The sequence below is a fragment of the Homo sapiens genome, chromosome 4, assembly GCF_000001405.40.
Source record: "Homo sapiens chromosome 4, GRCh38.p14 Primary Assembly".
Taxonomy (NCBI): Eukaryota; Metazoa; Chordata; class Mammalia; order Primates; family Hominidae; genus Homo; species Homo sapiens.
In genome coordinates, this window is record NC_000004.12 from 98,679,932 (window position 1) to 98,700,670 (window position 20,739).

A 20,739-nucleotide genomic window follows, 5' to 3' on the forward strand; every position below is an offset into this window, starting at 1 on the left:
CCTACAGGCCGCTGACCAGGGAACATGGAGAACCAGATTAAAGGGCTGGAAAACTACAGGATCATGCAAATAGAAAGGGAAGCTTCCTCTGATAACAAACAAGCAGCAATAGGCATTCTTGCAGAGTTTATTGAAGGAAAACAATGTCTCCTTTGCAATAAAATCGATATAGGCTATTATTTTGAGCAAACTCAAAGACAGAATTTCTGCAGAGAAATTAGGGTGAAAAATGAAAGAAAATGACATTCCTGAAAATACTGCCTTAGGACAAGGCTCTTGAGGAAGATCATCAGCAGAACTTAGGTAAAGTCCAAAGCAGGGGAATCAGGCTCAGACTTCACACTCCAAGCATGCATTCATTTATTCACTCATTCATTCTTTCAGTAATTTATGTGTTGACGTAGCAAATATTTATTGAGCAGCAAATATATGCTAGACACTAAGCAAATATTGGAGGTTAAATTACCTTAGTGAAAAAGACAAGAAAAGTGTGCTTTCATGGATTGTATAATAGCAGCAAAGCTAGGCCTTAAAACAATAAAAAAAATTATTTAAGTTCAAATTGATAAGTACTAACAACAAAGAAGTTTTGAAATCTGTGAGAGTGAGTGACAGGAGAACCTAACCTAATCAGGGGATCAGATAATTCATTTGGGGGTTTCTAAGAGATTTGAAATTTTTAATGAACTTTTAAAGGTGAAAGATATTTACCTAAGGTAATCATTTTTACCAATTCCTTACTGGGGACAGAAATGGAAACTTAACTATTTGTAGTTTACTGAATACACAATATACATATATTTTCTATAGAGTTAAATATTAACTATAGGTTTTATACCATTGTATGAATTCCAGCAAACACATTCTATTATTTCTATAAAGACCTAAATTATTCTTTTGAATAGATACTTAGGCTGAGAGGAAACTTCCCATCTATTTAGTAAAGAGTATGGTATTTAACATCACTTTCTTCTGTCTAGTTATTCTAACAATGCCAAACCATAACCATTTAGTATAGGCATTTCAAGATAATACATCAATTCAAAACAAGTATTCATTGAGTGTGTGTTGTGTGATAAGCTGTGTTTTTGCAGCTGAGATAACAGTGGTGAGGAAAACAGACAAGGTCCCTGACTTTCTGGAATTTACATCTTAAAATGAACTTAAATTGTTTCTAATGTTTTAATTGACATTTCCAATAGCAATGGGAATGACCACTTTACTGCATATTGTATTCTCATCAATAGTGAGTACTATCATTACTTGCTTTTATAGAAGGAAAGTACAAAAAAAATGAAGGCATTGTTATGGGTTGAATTGTGTCCCCCCAAAAAAGATATGTTGAAGTCTCAAGCCCTAGTACCTCAGAAATGTGACCTTATTTGGAAACAGGGCTTGTGCAGATGTAGACAAGTTAAGATGAAATCATTAAAGTGGTCCCGACTCCAGTTGACTGTTCTCCCTGTGAATGCCATGTGAAGAGAAGGCAGAGATCGGGGTCATGCAACTATAAGCTAAGCAACACCGATTGCCAGCAACCACCAGAAGCTAGGAGAGAGGCACTGAACAGATTCTCCCTCATGTCCTCAGAAGGAACCAGCCCTGCCAACTCCTTGATCTCCGACTTCTGCCCTCCAGACAGAGACAATACACTTGTAGGTTAAGCCACCCAGTTTGTGGTACTTTGTTGTGTTAGCCCTATTAAACCAATACAGGTATGTTTCTTAAGTTGGGTTCCACTGGAAGCAGAGATTTACAAATGACTTGGGTGGTAATTGATGTTTGACACGTGCTCAGATATAAATCTCACTCTCGAAAGTATCATGATGTTTTGTTTGTTTTCTCTTATTTTCCCTGTGGTTTTAGACATTAAAGATAATGAAGCAGGCGGTGGCATGTCTGTAATCCCAGTACTTTGATAAGCCAAGGTGAGAGGATTGCTTGAGGTCAGGAGTTTGAGACCAGCCTGGGCAACATAGTGAGACCCCTTCTGTACAAAAAATTAAAAAAAAAATAGCCCGCCATGGTGGCATGTGCCTGTAGCCCTACCTACACTGGAGGCTGAGGCAGGGGGATCTCGTTAAGTCCAAGAATTCAAGGCCATAGTGAGCTGGGATCTTGCAATTGCATTCTAGCCTGGGTGGCAGACAGAGACCCTGTCTCTAATTTAAAACAAAGAAAGATAACCGAGCAAACCAGAGACTGCCAATGGGCAATGAAGGCCTTTACCATGAATTGACAAATTTGGGTAATCAGTGATTAGAATTGGATGCAGGAGGAGAGGATCTAGCTTTTGGGAGGCTTGAAGTTTATTTAATCTTCTCTTTAAGAAAAAGAGTATAAAATTATAAATATAAAATTAGATACAAAAGTAAATATTTATTTAGAATAAAAAGAAATAAAAAATAAATTACAAACATTAGAAAGATGATAAATACTATGAATACCCATACATCTAGAACCCAATTTTTTTTTAATTCTCTGACAGCTTTTTATAATATATTTTTCTGCATATTTTGGCTGCATATTCTTTGATCACCTCTTTAACATCAATTTTGTAACACAGCTTTCTAAAGATAGAAAACAGCCTTCCTCTAGCATGGTTGGTCTAAATTTGTGTTTTATTATTGATAGATGGGATGCATAAAACATGCAACCTCACACATAGATGTGTTCACTGCTACAGGATTATGCATCAGAAACCCAAGAATTCTGATAAAATCTACTTTAGATGATTTTCATGAAAATGTATTTTGGGTTTATAATTATGTATAATGTACATTCCTAAACAGGAGAGAATTTCTGTCTTGATGGGGCATTGATGAGAATTGAATTCTTTGTTTACAAGTTTACATGTCTGATGTTCGAAGGAATTTTCCACAGAATTGCTTCTGGCTCTGCACATTGCAGACCTTGCTTATCTCTCTCCCCACATACTCCTACTACAGGGCAGGTTCTTATCCTGATATGGCCTCTGGCCCTAGTCCTTTCAACATCATGCCTGGTAATGTTGGCTCAAGGGCAGGAGGAGAATCCAGAAGCCATTTCTATGCCAGATCAGCCAGTAATAGCTTAACTATGTAAGGAAGTCACTTGACCCTCATAAATATATCCTGCTAAAACCACAATTTATTTAATATATTCCCCAATTCAACTTCCTCTTAGCCAGCTCCCCAAAACACTTACGTCCCCAGTAATACCACCTGACTGCAATGTAATAGATGGGAAGTCAAAGTGGAAAGAGACAAGGGTCATAACCAATTGCAATAAAAATATTTTACTTTTGAGCCAGGTGCAGTGGCTCAAGCCTATAATCCAAGTGACTTGGGAGGCAGAGCAAGGTGTTTAAGGCTGCAGTGAGCTATGACCATGGCACTGCACTCCAGCATGGGCCACAGAGCAAAACCTTATTTCTTAAAAAAAAAAAAAAGAACGAAAAAGAAAAAAAAAGAAAGAAAAGATAAAAATATTTACTTTTGCAAATTTTACAAAAATCTACAAGTATGTGAATGCATGTGTCAGGATACTTCCTAGGACCTTGTAAGGAGCCCAGGCATGACACGACCCACCATGAGAGCGGCCTGAAGCTTAACCTTCATTCATACGTCAGAGTAACCTGCCTTTCACAATGCTAAATGAATGATCTGAAGCTTTGTCACAGTTTGTTTGTGTTTTTTTTGAGAAGGAGTTTTGCTCTTGTTACCCAGGCTGGAGTGCAATGGCGCAGTCTCAGCTCACTGCAACCCCAACCTCCCGGGTTCAAGCGATTCTCCTGCCTCAGCCTCCTGAGTAGCTGGGATTATATGTGCCCAACACCATGCCTGGCTAATTTTTTGTATTTTTAGTAAAGATGGGGTTTCACCATGTTGGCCAGGTTGGTCTCGACCTCCTGAGCTCAGGTGATCCACCTGCCTCGGCCTCCCAAAGTGTTGGGATTACAGGTGTGAGCCACTGTGCCCAGCCAGGTAAGTTCTTTATATATTTAATTTTTTATCATTTAGGCTTTGGCAATAGGGAATGAAATTTAGACCATCCCTCTGGGGTAAGGGGAGGCTGTGATGAGTGGGAAAGAGAGTGAGTAAATGAGAGAGGAATGGTTATAAGAGTTGGAAAGTGGTAATATGGATGGAAATAAGTTGTGAGTGTAAAATACAAGCATTTTTTTCTGACTCTTCCACTTCTGACATAAAAGGATAGAAGATAATCTTCAAAGAGGAGATGTTAGCCTGGCTTATGTAACAAAGAGAGTCAGATGACCTGGTTTTGTTAAATCCAGAAAGGTCTGTGATTGAGGACCTACCCTTTGAAAGTTAATTTGAGTTATTACTTTATACCTTATTCATATGTGGGCCTAAGACCAAATGCTTTTAATTAATTTGTTTATAAATAGAATGTGCACAAGGGTTGTTTTGAGAAATAGTGATAAATATATTTGAATATGCCCAAGTTTTGTTATTTGTCATAGTGATAATAATGATAATATTAGTTTGTGGGCCTAGCGAATACTGTTTGGTTTTACATTGTTTGGTCCAACTGAAGCCACCAGTGTTAAGGTAAAAATCGCCCTTGGCTATAGGGTAGATTTCTTTATAGTAAAAGAGGTGGTGCTCTTTTGATTAATAATTAAATGTAGGTCTTCAGATAGAGGAAAGGCAAAGAAATGATATCAAAGACATTAATATACAATTCATATCCTTTAGTGAATATAAAAACAAAATCACAATCTAACAGATCAGTAAAAGTAACAAGGAATTTAACAGGCTTTGATTTTGGTCAAAAATTACTTAGGTGTCCTCCCTAACCACGACGTACCCATCGCCTGGTTTAACATGGAGCAGCAGGGAGAAAGGACATGCTGATGAAAAGCCTCAGGCTCTTTAACTGCCTTGACTTGGTCTCTCCTGTATTAGTTTTCTGTTGCTGTTGTAAGAAATTACTATAAACTTGGTGGCTTTAAACAACACAAATATATTGTTTTATAGTTCTTATACCGGAAGTCGAACATCGATCTGGCTGGGCTAAAATCGAGCTGTCAGCAGGGCTGCACTCCTTTCTGGAGGCTCTAGGCAGGGAATTCCTTTCCTTGCCTTTCCTGGCTTCTGAAGGATGCCCACACTCATGGCCCTTACTCTCCATCTTCACGTCAGCAACATAGGATCACTCTGACCCTTCTTCCATTGTCACAACTTTTTCTAACCACAGCTGGGAAAGGTTCTTCACTTTTCAGGACTCGTGATTAGATTGGGCCTGCCAGGCTAATCCAAGATAATCTCTCCATCTCAAGGTCCTTAATCACTTCTGCAAAGTCCCTTTTGCCACGTGAGGTAGCATATTCATGGGTTCTAGAGATTGAAATGTGGACATCTTTGAAGGGCCATTATACTGTCTACCACATTTCCCTAGCCTAAAACAGAATTGGGGGAGGCACAGTGGTCAGCAGCCTTCCCGGCTCCTTCCTACTCTACTGCAAGGGACATTTTTGGAATATTGCCAATGTGTAGCCTTCCGGAGAGGTTTTCCAACATGGTAATGTGAGAATGAGGGGGGTGAGAATGGCTCCTCTCCTTAAAATTAATAATAATAATGAAGATTATTGGTAAAATCGCTCCTCTTAAGAACTTCGAGTGTTCTGTTTTGCATGAGTTGAGTGACTATCTAGCCTGAACACACAATCAAGAGATAAAATACTACTATTTTTGTTATTATTTGTCTTGGCCTGATTTAAACTGCTGATTCCACAATAAAATCAAAGGGCATCAAAGTCCATTTCCAGATTCCTGAGAGGCTCATTTCCTTTCATTGCTCCTTTGCCATTTTGTGCTTTCCTGATTTTGCGCAAATATTTGCAATTTGGGTGGGGGCCACAGTTTACCAGTCAACCCAGAATTCTTTTCACCTGCATGCTATTATTCAACTTGTTGTATAACAAAGCTTCTTTGAACTTTACATATCAAAGAAAAAAATCACTCTTTCTTAGACTAACATCTAAAGCAGCTCAGCGTGCACAAAGAGACAGATGCCACTGCTGCAATTGACTTCAAGACCTAACAGATCTTCTGGCAGACTGTCCGCTATTGACTGGAGATGTTTGATTTTTAAAATTATGTTTTTATGTAGATGTTACTCTCTGCTAAGTAATCCTATCCTTTTTATGCTTTTCCATTAAAACTATTTACAATCAAGACATTAACCACTATCCTGTTCTTTCTTTGTTTTGCTAATTATGATACACAGATGCTGTTGCACAATCAAGGCAGTTGTTTGTATACTACAATAATGAATGAATAGATGAATGAATGAACAAAAGGTACAATGTTGTGTGGCGGATAAGTCCAAGTCTATCAAGTCTTGGCTCCATCTATTATATCTCTATGGCTTTGGGCCACTTAGCTTCTCTGGACCTCAGTTTCCTCATCTAGAAAATGAGGCTAATAATGTCTACCTTGTAAGTGTATCGTAAATATTTGGGATAATATATGTAAAATGCCTCAAGCACAGAAACAGGCAGTAAATCTCTCTCTCTCTCTCAATAGGAATCAGTAACCAGTGTTTTGCTCTTTGGGGATTACACAGCTAACCCTCAATAATCCACATGTGGGTTCTTCTCTTTGCAAATTAGCTCCAGCACATTTTTGAAGTAAGCAGATTTTCCCATGAACTCCTCATTTACTCTTGGCTGACTTTCCACCACCAATCTCATGTGTGTTTATATAATGCAAACAATTTAATATTAAGCTATGTGTTACTTTTGTAGAAAGGTAAATTTGCGTCCACAAATAAGATACATTTAAAAAACCTAACGTGTATGACATTTGAAATTCTCTAACTTGCAATGACTTGCCAAGTTGCTGAATAAGCCAGTTGGAAAATTTTTAATTTTATTGTATTAAAAGGGGGAACAGGATTGTGTGGCCAAATAATTGTGTGGTTTTGTAAATTTTAATTTTTCTTTTTATTTGCAACTCTCAGACCATGTCTGTGTATAAACACCAATATTAATTTTCACCCAACAGCTCTTCTGGCATCTAAAATGTTTGCTGTCACTGGTTCAGTTGAGATAATCATATCAGTAATGTCTAACCTCAGTCCCATTCCTGGGCCCCTGGAGAGAAGAGTTAATGGGATCAAGGCTGGCTCATGAGTTATCAGCTACTCCACGAAGCTGAGTCTCATAGATTAATGCAGAACTGGCAAGCTTAAAGTCCTGGGGAAAAGGCTGAAATGATACATGGGGATGGTTAAAAACAGTGGTAAACATTTGAAAATGAAGGTCTTAGGTATGGTATAGAGGGTAAAGCATCACAATTCCAAACAAAATTAAAGATATTGCACCTCTAATACATTACCAGAGGCTAGTAAATAAAGATTTAAAAAGAAGGAAAAAATATAACACCTAAGTATTCCTGATGTTTATTGAGGATGAAGAAAAAAATGAATAGAAAGAAAAGAAGGCAAAGACCAAAGAACCTTCCCTGGAAGAGCAGGGCTGTGCTTTGGCATCAGGAGCCAAACCCCACACCCACCTGTGCTAGCGGGCTCTACTACCTAGCTAGGAAGGACGGGGTGCTTGTGTGCTTGCTTCAACAGCTTCATTGAGCTGTTCACGTGCCTGAAGAGTCACCCATTTAAAGTATGCAATTTAGTGGTTTTTAGCATATTCCCAGATATGTACAATCATCACCACAATTTTAGAACGTTTCCTTCAGCTCAGAAAGCAACCTTGTACCCTTGAGCTCTGACTCTCATCCATTCTCCTGTTCATCGCCCAGCCCATGCAACCACTAATCTACTTTCTGTATCTATAGATTTTCCTATTCTGGACATTTTCTATAAATGAAAATGCGACTTTTGTGACTTATTGCACTTAGCATCGTGTTTTCAAGGTCCATCCATGCTGCAGTGTCTATCGGTACTTCATTTCTTTTTATAGCTGAATAATATTCTATTGTGTGGCTATGCCACATTTTGCTTATCCATTCAGCAGCTGAAGGACATTTGGGTTGTTTTCACTTTGGGACTATTGTGGATATTTTGAATAAACATTCATGTCGAGGTTTTTGTATAGACATATGTTTCCATTTCTCTTGTGTATGTACCTAACAGTGGAATTGTTGGGTCATGTGGCAACTCTCTGCCTGTTTGAGAAACTGCCAGGCTGTTTTCCAAAGTGCCTGCACCATTTTACATTCCAGCAGCAGCTCATAAGGTTTCTCTACAACCTCATCTATCATGTGTGCTCATCTTCTGGCTTTACATAGCTTCTTCTATGTGACAAGAGAAATGAGATAAAAATATAGGATTTGCTTTCTAGGCAAAAGAACCCACTGTTATTAATATCCTAAGAAATGCTTATTTTCTACTTTATAGTTCTAGTACAAATGTGAGCTGACTTTTTTTTCAGGATGTACTATAATAATTTGAGTGTTGAAGAGAAAATCCAATGCTGAATGTGAAATACGTAAAAAATATTTCCTGTGTTACCACTTAAGCAGTAAATAGCCCAAAGCCTCTCCCAATACCCCACCACCTCACCACTTTGAACTGGGCAATTCTTACTCATCTTTGAGTTCTCTGGATGCCTTCCCCAAGTCACTGGCTTGAGATAGGTCACCTTGGGGTGAAGCTCCCATGGCACCTCTACTTCCTCTGACAAAACGTGACTCAGAGTTTTGTTTTGTTATCATTATTCCATATCCGCCTTGTCCTCTAGTCTGTAAGGCACTGGGGCAGAGTGACCTTGGCTGTCTTTCCTACAGTATCTCCATCATCTAGCCATGTGTGTACTCCATAAGTATTTGCTGAATGAAGACGCAAAAAAGGTTTTCCACTAAGAAGTTTTCCTGCTTACTAAACTTTTCAGTGAATGTGTATAAATTAGGCTTCACTAAAGTGTTTGCTTTGTTTATGAAAAACCCAAGCTGCATCTTAGCTCTTTGGCACACTCCGAGAACAGGCTTATTTTACCAGCAAATTCCTCCCTGAGTCAGCTAATGCTAAGGTATGTTCAATACTTTTCTGAAAACGATCCTAATCTCCCCTAACAGAGGCCAGAGTGTAGCTGAAACAGCTCTTCTGACAGTTAGGAAGCTCTGATTCTGTCAGTCATTTTCTGTTCTTTATCATGTTTTTTTTCAAAGGAAAAAGCTGTTTTCCTGTGTGTGAGAACATTCTCTCTTATCTAATAATGCTCAATTGTCTTTCTGTTCCATTAGTGTGCAGGAAACCACCTGTCCAATTGAGATCAGAGCTGCAGATGTCAAAGTGTCTCATTTTATATAGATGTGCAGCTGTCAGATCAGAGATCAAAGGCTTCTCTTTAATGAAAACAAGTCATCTTTACCAACATGACTGTAGAATTTATACGAATACAGTTATCTGGATTGAATGATTGGCATTCATCTTTTTCAAGCTCCCATCATTTTAACAATGACTTGGCTCTCCCAACTTCCTCAAGTAAAGAACGAGGCAAACATCCTAACCTCTGCTCCCTCTCCTCTAATTCTGCTCCTATTTCTCTGGTCCCTGTACCAGAGGATTCATAATGGTCTCCCATGGGTCATGCTTGAGAGAGTTTTATTTGACCAAATGCATATAAAAAAAATTGTTGGGATTAAGGGCCAGTATTTTCAAATTGGAAGATTTCACATAAAAATCAGATCTCCAATTTTTCTTGAAAAATCAGGCAGTCCCAACACTGAGTTGTATTCTCAAAGACGAATATTGTAGTGTAGTCACTAAGGTGGTTTCCAATGATGCTTACCTCCTGGTTTGCATGCCTTTGTCAAATCTCCTCCCCTTGAGTGTGTGGTGAACTTGGCTCACTTCTAATTAACAGAATCCAGCAACAATGATAGGATGTCACTTCTGAGATTGGGTTACAAAAAGACTGCCTTCCATCTTTCTTCCTCGCTTGCTCTGGAGAGGCGCTGACTGCCCTATTATGAGCTGCCTTAAGGAGAGACCCATATGAAAAGGAACCAATTCCATCAGCCACCAGCCACCAGGGACCTGAGGCCTGCCAACAACCACATGAATGAGTTCAGAAGTAGATCCTCCCTCAGTTGAACCTTAAGCCAAGACCACAGACACAGCTGACACCTTTATTATTGTCTTGTGAGAGACCATGGATTAGAGGACCCAGTTAAACCATGCCTGGATTCCTGGCCCACAAAAACTGTGAGAAAATATGTTTGTGTTTTAAGTCAATACGTGTTGGGGTAATTTGTTACCCAGCAATAGATAACCATTGCAGTAACCATTAGTGATCAGGTGGAGCTGAGCACAGCTGTGCCCTTTGGAAGGCATGCATTCTCTCTGCTTGCACTTGTCCAGCCCACCCATGGTCATTGAGACCCTGCTCTATGCTGTGTATTAATCCACTATTCATTCAGTCACCCCATCAGGACCTCCCTTGATCCACCAGTTACTCAGTGCTATAGGAGATACCTCTGGGTTTCATTCCCTCTTCTTTGCTCTGCATGTCCTAATCATGGTTCGATCCCTCCTATTATCTTGCTTGGACTTTGGCAGCTATCTCCTAATTCCTCTCAGTTTCTTGTCCCACTCACCTCCAATTCATCCCTCCATGCTGCTGCCAGACAGCTATTTCTAAATGCTCTTCAGGATGAAATCTAAACTTTTGGCTTGGTTTCCAAGGCCCTCCAGGATGACCAAGCCCCCCTCACGCTCCAGCCACATCTCTCCCACACCTCCCTTTGCCGCTGCTGGGAACTATGCACTCTAGTCACCCGAAACTCCTCACTCCTCCTCAAATGCGCCTAGCTGCACCATATTTCTGGGCCTTTGCCCACCCTGATCCGTTGGCCTACAATGAAATGCCCTTCTCTGCCTCCCTGCCTCATGACCACACCTCACCTTTCTAGCATCACCTCCTCCGTGAACCCCTTGCTAAATCATGCCCCCAAGCAATCAACTGCTGCTTGCTGGTGCCCCTATAGCCATCTGTTCATGCTGCTCTCTTGGTGTCTGGATCACCCAATCACACTTGCTGCCTCATCTGTCATTATCTCACCTGGAGGGAATGGTGGCAAGATCACCACCTCTGTACCTGCATTGTCCAGCATAGTGCCAGTACAGGGAGGGGACTCAACTCACAACAGTGTTTCTGCAAAACAACAACAATAAAAATGTCTCCATTGTTTCCCCTTAATGCCACCACTTGACAGTTCCCCTACCTGGAATAGAAGCCACCCAACTTTCCTTCTATTTATTCTTTAGGTCACAGCTTAAGCGACATTCTCTCAGAGACCATTCCCTAAGCCCTTAGATCACACTGATGCCGCCTTTAATAAGACTCAACACTGCTGTAATCACCAACATGGCATCCCAGTGATTTGATTATATATTTGTTTATTTAATGCCTACAACAGTCCTATCAGGGTTCTCCCAGTTGACAGACGAAGAAACTGAGGCATTTGAACCCAGGCAGTATGACTTAGGGTCTATGTGCCTGAATAGGCACTCTTATAGTACCTGTTTATCAGCCACCCTCCCACCTCCTACACAAACAAACCATTAGACAGTAGGCTCCAACAGGGTCAAGCCTAACTTGTCCCTAATGTTCCCCAACCCAGTGGCTGCTACAAAGTAGGTATATGAATGGATTGACTCTGAATTCCTGAGAACAGATGGACAAATGAATTTTGAAATTCAGTAATCTATACCTGGTCGCCTGGGTCAAGAGATGCAACTCTAAATAGCTCACCTCGTAGAGCCAGGTGGAGTTTGCCACATTTCATGACAAGGTCAGGTGTCTAAAGTTTGATAATGCAGAGATTCCAGAGCTGGTTGCAGCCTTCTCGGGAAACAGGAGATATCTAAGCTCCATATTTGGTCATGAGTGCCCTGGTAACTGCTCTGACTCTGCCCATTGAGGGCTCCAGGAATTCTCAAGTGGACCCTCAAGAATGTATCAACTTCTCATAGAGAAGGAGCTGATGTCTGTTAAGCCCTCCTACAATGCTCCAGGAACTCCCTGACAGAAGCTCCGATCCTCACAATTCTCCAGGGACACTTTGCTGTGAGGATTTAAGCTCTGACTGGATACTCCATGAGGGCAGGGCTCTGTATTCCCAGCACCTAGAACAGCTCATGGTGGCTCATGGTGGGTGTTGAATAAGTATTTGTTGAGTGAACTTTAGAGATGAGGACACAGGCTTGGGAAGTTCAAGCGTCCTACCCATCACCACACAGCTAGTAAGTTGTGCAGTCAGGATCTCCATGCAAGGCTCTCTGTAGCTAAATTCATGCTTTTCCCAGTATTTCATACTTATTCCACATAATTACCCATTCCCAAGTAAATTCTCAGTATTGTTAGGGTCTTGAGAGTTCAGGGGTGAGAGCCATGTTACCGAAGGCCCAAAATGCGGCTCTTAAAATTTGCGCTTATGTGAATTGAGCTGGCTGTGGATATCAGAGAACTTCAGAAACTCTTCAGCCTTAAAGCAGATTGCAGCGATGGGAATGTGGAAACCATATTCTAAGGGGCTAGTGGATCCCCTTCCCCCACAGTCCTCAAGCCAATCTTTTCCCTTCATTATCACCGTCTGCCAAAAAAAAAAAAAAAAAAAAAAAAAATCAGAAAGGCTCTTTTTGCACTCTCTTTCCTGAACGTTCATGTCAGCAGGCTCTCTTCCTGAACATTCGTGAGCCACTGATGTTTCCTGTTAAATGCATTGCTTTCAGGGCTGACTCTCCGGCTGGATTAAAAGGTATGCAGTCCTGTACAAGCATTAACTCGTGGCTGTGCACTGCATTTTTAAAGGCCCAGAGAGCTGCTGAAGTACGAAATGAAATATCTTTACAAATGACTGGCCTCATTTAGTCTATAAAAATGCTGGGCTCGTTATTTATGTGGATTACCTATCCCCTCATTATAAATCTTGGAGAGAAATTTCTATCTTCACCCTTTCATGTTACATATTTTTGAGATTCTATTTCTGTTATCTGCAAAGAAAAATTTAGCTTCCAGATGAAGTATTATGATTACCCTGCAAAAATAAATGATTCTAACTAGTTATAGAATAAGTGTTATTGGATATGAATTCATCAACCTCCTTGCCTACTATGCCCTTTCTTGTTTGGTGTGTGTGTAAGAACCAGAATATAATGATGGGTTTGCTCGGCAACTTATGTGTAGGGAAGCTCTGTTAACATCCGATTTGGAGAGCTGTGGCTCTCAATTTAGAAATTTGAAAATTGGTAGCAGTTGAGTTCAGAAAATATGTGTCTATGTGAGAAACTGATGTAACTAGCCTTATATGTTACTGAGTAAGGCTAGTATGGTCACTAGATGGCATAATTTGAGGCCAAGTATTAATATTGTTAGAGTTAGATTTGCTATTCCAGCTCACAGTGTTATTAATCTGGGGGTTAAGTGGTAGGGAAAAATCAAATATAGACTAGACCGTACTGAAGAGGTAGTATCCTGAGATGAAAACTGTATGAGATTTAGAATCTGATTCTGCCACTATTTGCTGTGTGTCCTGCAGCAAGTCACTTGCCCTCTCCGAGCCCCACATTTCCCATTTCTAAAAAATATTTAGGCTAGGTGCAGTGTCTCATGCCTGTAATCCCAGCACTTTGGGAGGCCAAGGTGGGTGGATCACCTGAGGTCAGGAGTTCGAGACCAGCCTGGCCAACATGGCAAAACCCTGTCTCTACTAAAAACAACAATAACAAAAAATTAGCCAGGCACCTGTAGTCCCAGTTACTCAGGAAGCTGAGGCAGGAGAATCGCTTGAACCCAGGAGGCAGAGGTTGCAGTGAGCTGAGATGGTGCTACTGCACTCCCGCCTGGGCAACAGAGCGAGACTCTGTTTCAAAACAATAAAATAAAATAAATTTAATAATATTCACTTCACAGGATTGTGGGAAGGGTCAAATTCAAGATTGTTGGTGAAAGCACTGATGTCTCCCCACCTAGCTCCCTTAAACTGGGGCTGTGATCTCACTTTAGCCTGCTGAGGCAAGCTGCATCCCACTCAGCTTTCCTCCACCTTTCAGCCTAGGGTATTTTACAGTTTGTAGTTCCCTCTTATTCTCGATGTACTTGAGTTATCTTGTGTTTGCTAGTCAGATTATGGGTAGAAAATTAATAAATATGGCTGAAAAATGTAAATGTTGGGAGGAGGAATCAAACGTCCGGGCTGGTTTCGCCAATCATTCACCTAGGCACGTTAGTTTCTTAATGTGGCCTCTGACTTGCTGTGCAGGATAGGAGTCTTGACACTGGTTCTCCTCAACACCCTGTAACCAGTCATCACAGAAGAGCCACACCTGAGGCCTCCAGCCTACAGCGTGAGGAATCACAAAGATGAGGGTGGGACGCCATCTGCATCCAGGTGAAGGGCTCCGCCCCTGGAGCAAGACTGCCCGTGTGAGAATCCTGCCCTGCACTTGCCAGCTGTGGGACGGTCGGTGCCAAATATTCTTATGCTGCACTGGCCTCATTGTGAAATGGGGACATGAATAATACTTCCTTGTTGTTAAGCATTTGTGTTAATATTCATATCAGCATTAGAATTATTTCAGCTTTTTTAGGTTTCAGAAATGAACTTGTTCAGATCAGTTTCTGTTGGTTACAAAGAACAGACATCACCCAAACAAGGTCAAGTAAAAGGGGATTATGAAGAGGTATGAGAGATTCTCAGGTTAATGAAGTGTGAGAAGTATAACCAAGCCTCATAGGAACTGGACGGGCATCTATCTTTCTCTCTCTCCAAGCATGCAAGCATGCACGGGCAGCGCACACACACAGAGAGAGAGAATTCTTCATCGTTTCTCTCCCTGCATTTGCCCCATTCTCCATGGCAGATCAGCATCCTCTATTTCTCATGGTTTCTGCCCCTCCATACAACTTCAACTTGCATGTGGTGCGAGCCAGCCAGGGGCCTTGAATATGTAATTTTCATGGTCATGTAATCACAGGCACTGCATTTCTTCTGTCAAATTCTAGAGAGAAGCTGATGGAATTTTGGCCACATTATGGATTGATTTTTTGGGGGACTCAGATGTGGTGCTCCCTGGTTCAGTCTGCTGTGATTGGTGAGTGTGGGTCACATGATACTGGAATAACTCTGTCCAAGGGAGGCAGGTAGGGCCCAGTAAGCTAAAAACAGGACTTCTACCATAAAAAAACTTTAGAAGACAAATTTCACCTTAACTATGGAAACTGTTAAATTTTAAATTTCATAGAAAAATCTTTTCATAAAACATTACTCATTTTTTCATGTTTCATAAAACCACTTCTTTCTGATAAAAGTAATACATACATATTTTATACCTTTGGAAAATATACACCAAGAATATTAAAAGTAAGAATCAACCTTATTTTTCCAATTTAGAAATTAACTGGGTTAACATTTTTATATTTATTTTTTCTCTAGTATTTTTTCATTTTTGAGGTTATATTGTAACTATTATTTTGTAACATAGTTTTTCTCAGTTTGAATTCTCCAGGAACAAATTCTGAAATAAGGATTCCAGGCTGGGCGCAATCACACCTATAATACCAGCACTTTGGGAGGCTGAGGCGGGCAGATTGCTTGAGTCCAGGAGTTTGAGACCAGCCTGGGCAACATGGCGAAACGCCATCTCTATTAAAAATACAAAAAAATTAACCGGGCATGGTCATGTGTGCTTGTAGTCCTAGCTACTTGGGAGGCTGAGGTGAGAGAATCACCTGAGCCTGGGAGGTTGAGGCTGCAGTGAGCTGAGATCACGCCACTGCACTACAGCCTGGGCAACTGGAGTGAGACCATGTCTCAAAAAAGAAAAAAAAATTCAAGAGCACATAATTTATCTTTAAAACTATCCCAGGAAACACCAGTAGGAAAGTGGAAAAGAGATATAAGGAAGGGAAATGTTACAGTCATTATAGCTGTGTAACAAATTACTCCTGAGTGATACAAAACAACCACAGTGTTATTTTGCATAAGATTTGGTGCATCAGGAACTCAAGAAGGGCTCAGCTATAGAAGTCCACCAGGGCTGCAGGCATCTGAAAGCTCTGTTGGGCTGGATGTTCAAGATGGCCATTCCCATAGCTGGCAGGGGATCCAGATCTTTGCATGGGGCACCCCAGCATAGCAACTTCTGTTTAGTGAGACTTCTTAGTCTGTGACTAGTTTCCCCAAGAGTGAGCGCCCAAGAGAAGTAGATGGAAGCCAATGGCCTTTTATGGTCTATCCTTGAAAATCATACAGTGTCACTTCTGCCATCGTTTTCTATGAAAGCAGTTGCAAGCCCATGAGGGAAGAGACATAGATCCTACCACTTCATGGGAGGAGCGCTGTAGAACTTGAAGCCTATTAAAAAAAAATCACCACAGAAAGAAAGCCAATAAATTGTATGTAGTTAATCCAGTTGGCACTGTGTTGCAGCAGGAGCTGAGTTCTGCTGGAGAAATCTAGAAAAATTTGAATATAAAAAACATCTCAAATTGTCCCAATGGAAGGCTGCGAAAACTAAGGTGTTCAACCATCAATTTCCCATTAATAATTGGTCAGGCTGGGGAGTGGGAAGAGGGAGCATTAATTGCCCTGGGAATGGAGAAGTTCCCTGGCTTTGATTTCTAGCATACTGGCCAGTGGAAAGCCTCAGGCAGAGAGTTTCAGGTCTTCACAGCAAGCAGCCTTTCAGCAACAGAGCTCTGCACAGAGATGAATGCCATGGGGTTCTGAGGAAGGTACCAATAGTAACTGGCACAAATATCTTAAGCATTTTCTTTGTCATTAAATTCTCTCTGTGACAACTTTTAATGGTTAGATATTTTATTTTGTTTAATTAACATCTCTGTGCATCAAGCTGAGAGCTAGGGGAAGAAAAAAATCACACCGCGGTGTCAGTTAATGTCACTGCATGTTCTCTAACTTTGGGCCACCAATTGTTCATCTTTCTAATTTTCCTTAGCTCCCTCTCTTGACACCAAACTTTCACTTCTTTCCCTGAATCTCTTTTCAACTTGCATCCCATTTACTCTTAGCCGATGAGCTAATCTGCTTCAGTGAGAAAACGGAGGTCAGCAGACAATCAGCCTCAACTTCATGTTCTCCTGCTGTAAACCAAAAATAAAATTCTAAGCCCCCAAATGACTGAATGGACTCCCCTCTTGGCCAAAGGGCTCCTAAAGAAACCTGAAAAACTAGTTCAGGCCATGACAGGAAGGGGAGGAGTTGGACATGCCTCATTATACACTTCTCTCTTTGGAGTTTAGGCAACTGACCAGCATTAACATTAAAAGAGAGACCTTAAGACTGCGAAAGACTCTTTGTAGCAATAAGATACAAAATTCCAAACTGACTCTGGTAGAGCATCACATGGCAGATTGTTGGAGGCCGACAGAGTGAGGGTCTTGATCAACTCAGTATACCACTGGAGGCTATATGAGTAAACAGCAAACTGTTCTCATAAGTGCAGAATGTTGGCAAACAGACAAACTGTCTGCCATCCAGAAGGAATGCTGAGGGCAGTCACAACCCAGGCACAAGTATTTCTTGTGATTAGGCACATCTGAAGCCTGTTAGCAATAATGTGATCAATCAAGCAGCTGACCAATAGTTACCTCCTTCTCCCTGCTCTTGCTACCCAATAAATACGAAGGGCTGTAGAAGCTCATGGCTGCTGCCTTTGCTCACTAGAAGCAAGGAGCCCTCTTCTTCGTCCCCTGGCCCCTTTCTTTAAAACAGTTTCTTTTAAGTCTTAATTTCTGCATTCATTCGTCCCCCTTCGTTCAGTCTCGTAATGTCGGTCTCAAGTAGTAACAGTAGTAACTGCTGTAATGAGGGTCTCAAGTAGTAATTGTGGCAGTCTGTCACAGCAGATAGCAGGCCCTGAAAAAAAGATCAAAGTATTTTGCCCCTAAATATATTTCTCTGACATATTTTGAAATGGCCCTGCAAAGCTGTCTCTTGTGGGGGAAATTCTTGCATTCTATAGAGAATCTCCATCCCTTTTTAAGATCTGATAAGAGACCTTCGCCATCTATTCTCTCTGAAGCCTGTTATCTGGAGGTGACATAAACATGACAAGAACCTTGGCTTCCACAACCCCCTTTATCTTTTTTTATGGGTTGTAGTTCTTTTTATTATTCTTAAGAATGATACAAAGATAATCCAGCTTTGCTGTTGTCTAGGTGGATACTCTCAGCTTCTCTTTTTCTACTTTTAATACCTGGGTAATAAGATCTAAGAGGACCTGTTCCAGAGAGTTCAAGGGAATGTTTTCTGATAATTATTTATTTATTTATTTAAAGCTCTGGGGTAAATGTGCAGGATGTGCAGGTTTGTTACATAGGTAAATGTGGGCCATGGTGGTTTGCTGCACCTATCAATCCATCATCTGAGTAATAAGCCCAGCCTGTGTTAGCTACTTTTCCTGATGCTCTCCCCGACCCCACAGGCCCCAGTGTGTGTTATTCCCATTTCTGTGTCCATGTGTTCTTATCGTTCAGCTCTCACTATGAGTGAGAACATGTGGTGTTTGTTTTTCTGTTCCTGAATTAGTTTACTGAGGATAATGGCTTCCAGCTCCATCCATGTTCCTGCAAAGGACATGAACTCACCCCTTTTTATGGCTGCGTAGTATTCCATGGTGTATGTGTACCACATTTTCCTTATCCATTCTATCATTGATGGGCATTTGGGTTGATTCCATGTCTTTGCTATTGTGAATAGTGTTGCAATAAATATACAAGTGCATGTATCTTTATAATAGAATGATCTATATTCCTTTGGGTATATACCCAGTAATGGGATTGCTGGGTCAAATGGTGTTTCTGGTCTAGGTCTTTGAGGAATAACCACACTGTCTTCCACAATGGTTGAACTGATTTACACTTCCACCAATAGTGTAAAAGCATTCCTATCTCTCTGCAGCTTTGCTAGCATCTGTTGTTTCTTGACTTTTTAGTAATTGCCATTTTGACTGGCGTGAGATGGTATCTCACCGTGGTTTTGATTTGCATTTCTCTAATGATCAGTGATACAAATCCCTTTATCTTAACTCAAGCTGACTCCAATTCTTCAGGCAGAGCTTAATTCTTTGGACCAATTGCTAATCAGGAAATCTTTGAATCCACCTGTGACCTGGAAGCCCCCACTTCTAGATGTCCCACTTTTCCAAGTCAAACCAATGTAAACCTTAAATATATTGATTTATGTCTTTGCCTGTAACTTCTGTCTCACAACAATGTATATAACCAAGTGGTAGCCCAACCACCTTGGGCACATGTTCTCAGGAACTCCAGAGGCTGTGTCACGGGCTATGGTTCTTCACCTTGGCAAAACAAACCTCTAAACTGATTGAGATCTATCTCAGATACTTGGTTTACACTACCTATCCATTTTCTCTATCTAACCCCTTTCTGATCCCTTTTCTCCCAATCTTAGAAGATAAGGAGTTCCTCCTCAGGTCAAGACCAGACCCCAACATCCCCATCTGTACTTGTACTTGGATCCCAACCTCATGCACTCCTGAGTTGTCTCTGCCTCTCCCTGGATCTTATCTCATTAGCCTGCCTCACTTTCTGCTTTATCTTCAGCCTCTCATTCTTTGCTTCTCCCTGTCTCCCTATAAACACACCCAAGGCTTTCTTCAGCCTAAAACCACATACCCTTCTCCATCTAACAACTATATAATCTCTCTCCTCATTTCCCATTCACTTCACAATCCACTGCATTGGAGTGTATTGCATTCTCTTCCCACTTTTCCTCAGAACTTCTCTCACCATGATCATCCATCAACCACCAATTGCCAACTCTGGAGGATAAGTTCTACTTCCAAGCTCTTAAACCCCTGCTGCACTTGAGTCCATGGATCATCCTCCTCCTTAAAGCTCTCTGTTCTCTAGGCCTCCAGGACTCTGCACTCTCCTGATTGGCCATACCTTATGAATATTCCTTCTCTGTCTTTGATTGGTCACCCCTCCTGTGTCTAGTCCAAAATGCTGCTGTTATCTCTCTATTGCTTGCATTTTGTCTATACTTTCTCCCTAGGTAATCTTATTCTTTTTCATGCTCCCAATTACAGATATTTTATCAGAAACTCTTGGAGCCAGATGGCTTCAGGGTTTAGGATTTTTAGATTTTGGAAAGGTAATATAACATATAGTAAAAATTACGTACTGGTCCCAGTAGAGTTTGGGACAGCACCCATAGTTAAACAAATGGATATTTCTGTAGCGAAACACAGAAATATTCACACTAAGTAGGATTTTTCAAAGGGGCTGCAAATACTCCTCTCATATGTTCAGGTCATATTTTGGAGTCAAAGGGGCTCAAATCTGATCAGGCTTTGCCACCAAATAAGTTTTTAAAAAAACTTTGGCTTTTTAGATTTTCTTTTGAATTTGGAAACTACAGGTAAAGGATTATAGACAAATACTACTGGTGTGCTGATAACTCCAAAATCTTGTATTTCCAGATCATAATTCTCCCTGGAGCTTTAGGTTTAGGTATCTAAAAAGCCAGCTGGATACCTCAACCTGAAAGTCTTACAGATATATCCAGCTCAATTCACCCAAAACTTGAATGTCTTCCCATCTAAGGTCTGGTCCTCTAAGAAACACTCTGAAGCACATATCTGTGTACAAGATATTTATCAATGGGACACCATTTATCAGCTCCTCCCTTGGAGCTCTGGGGCTGGAATGGCCCATCAGAGTTTTCCTGAATTAAGGAAAGCAGCCTGGCTTTTGCGCCCCTACATCAACCAGCCATT

General features: G+C 40.9%; 2 annotated features.

Moving 5' to 3' along the window:
• Positions 2,725-3,180: a transcriptional cis regulatory region, noted in NCBI's record as "candidate enhancer chr4.2289 targeted for multiplex CRISPR interference". NCBI's record gives its function as "positively regulates TSPAN5 gene expression with high confidence in K562 cells {active_cell/tissue: K562}" and the evidence as "EXISTENCE:mutant phenotype evidence [ECO:0000015][PMID:30612741]".
• Positions 6,915-7,341: a transcriptional cis regulatory region, noted in NCBI's record as "candidate enhancer chr4.2290 targeted for multiplex CRISPR interference". NCBI's record gives its function as "positively regulates TSPAN5 gene expression with high confidence in K562 cells {active_cell/tissue: K562}" and the evidence as "EXISTENCE:mutant phenotype evidence [ECO:0000015][PMID:30612741]".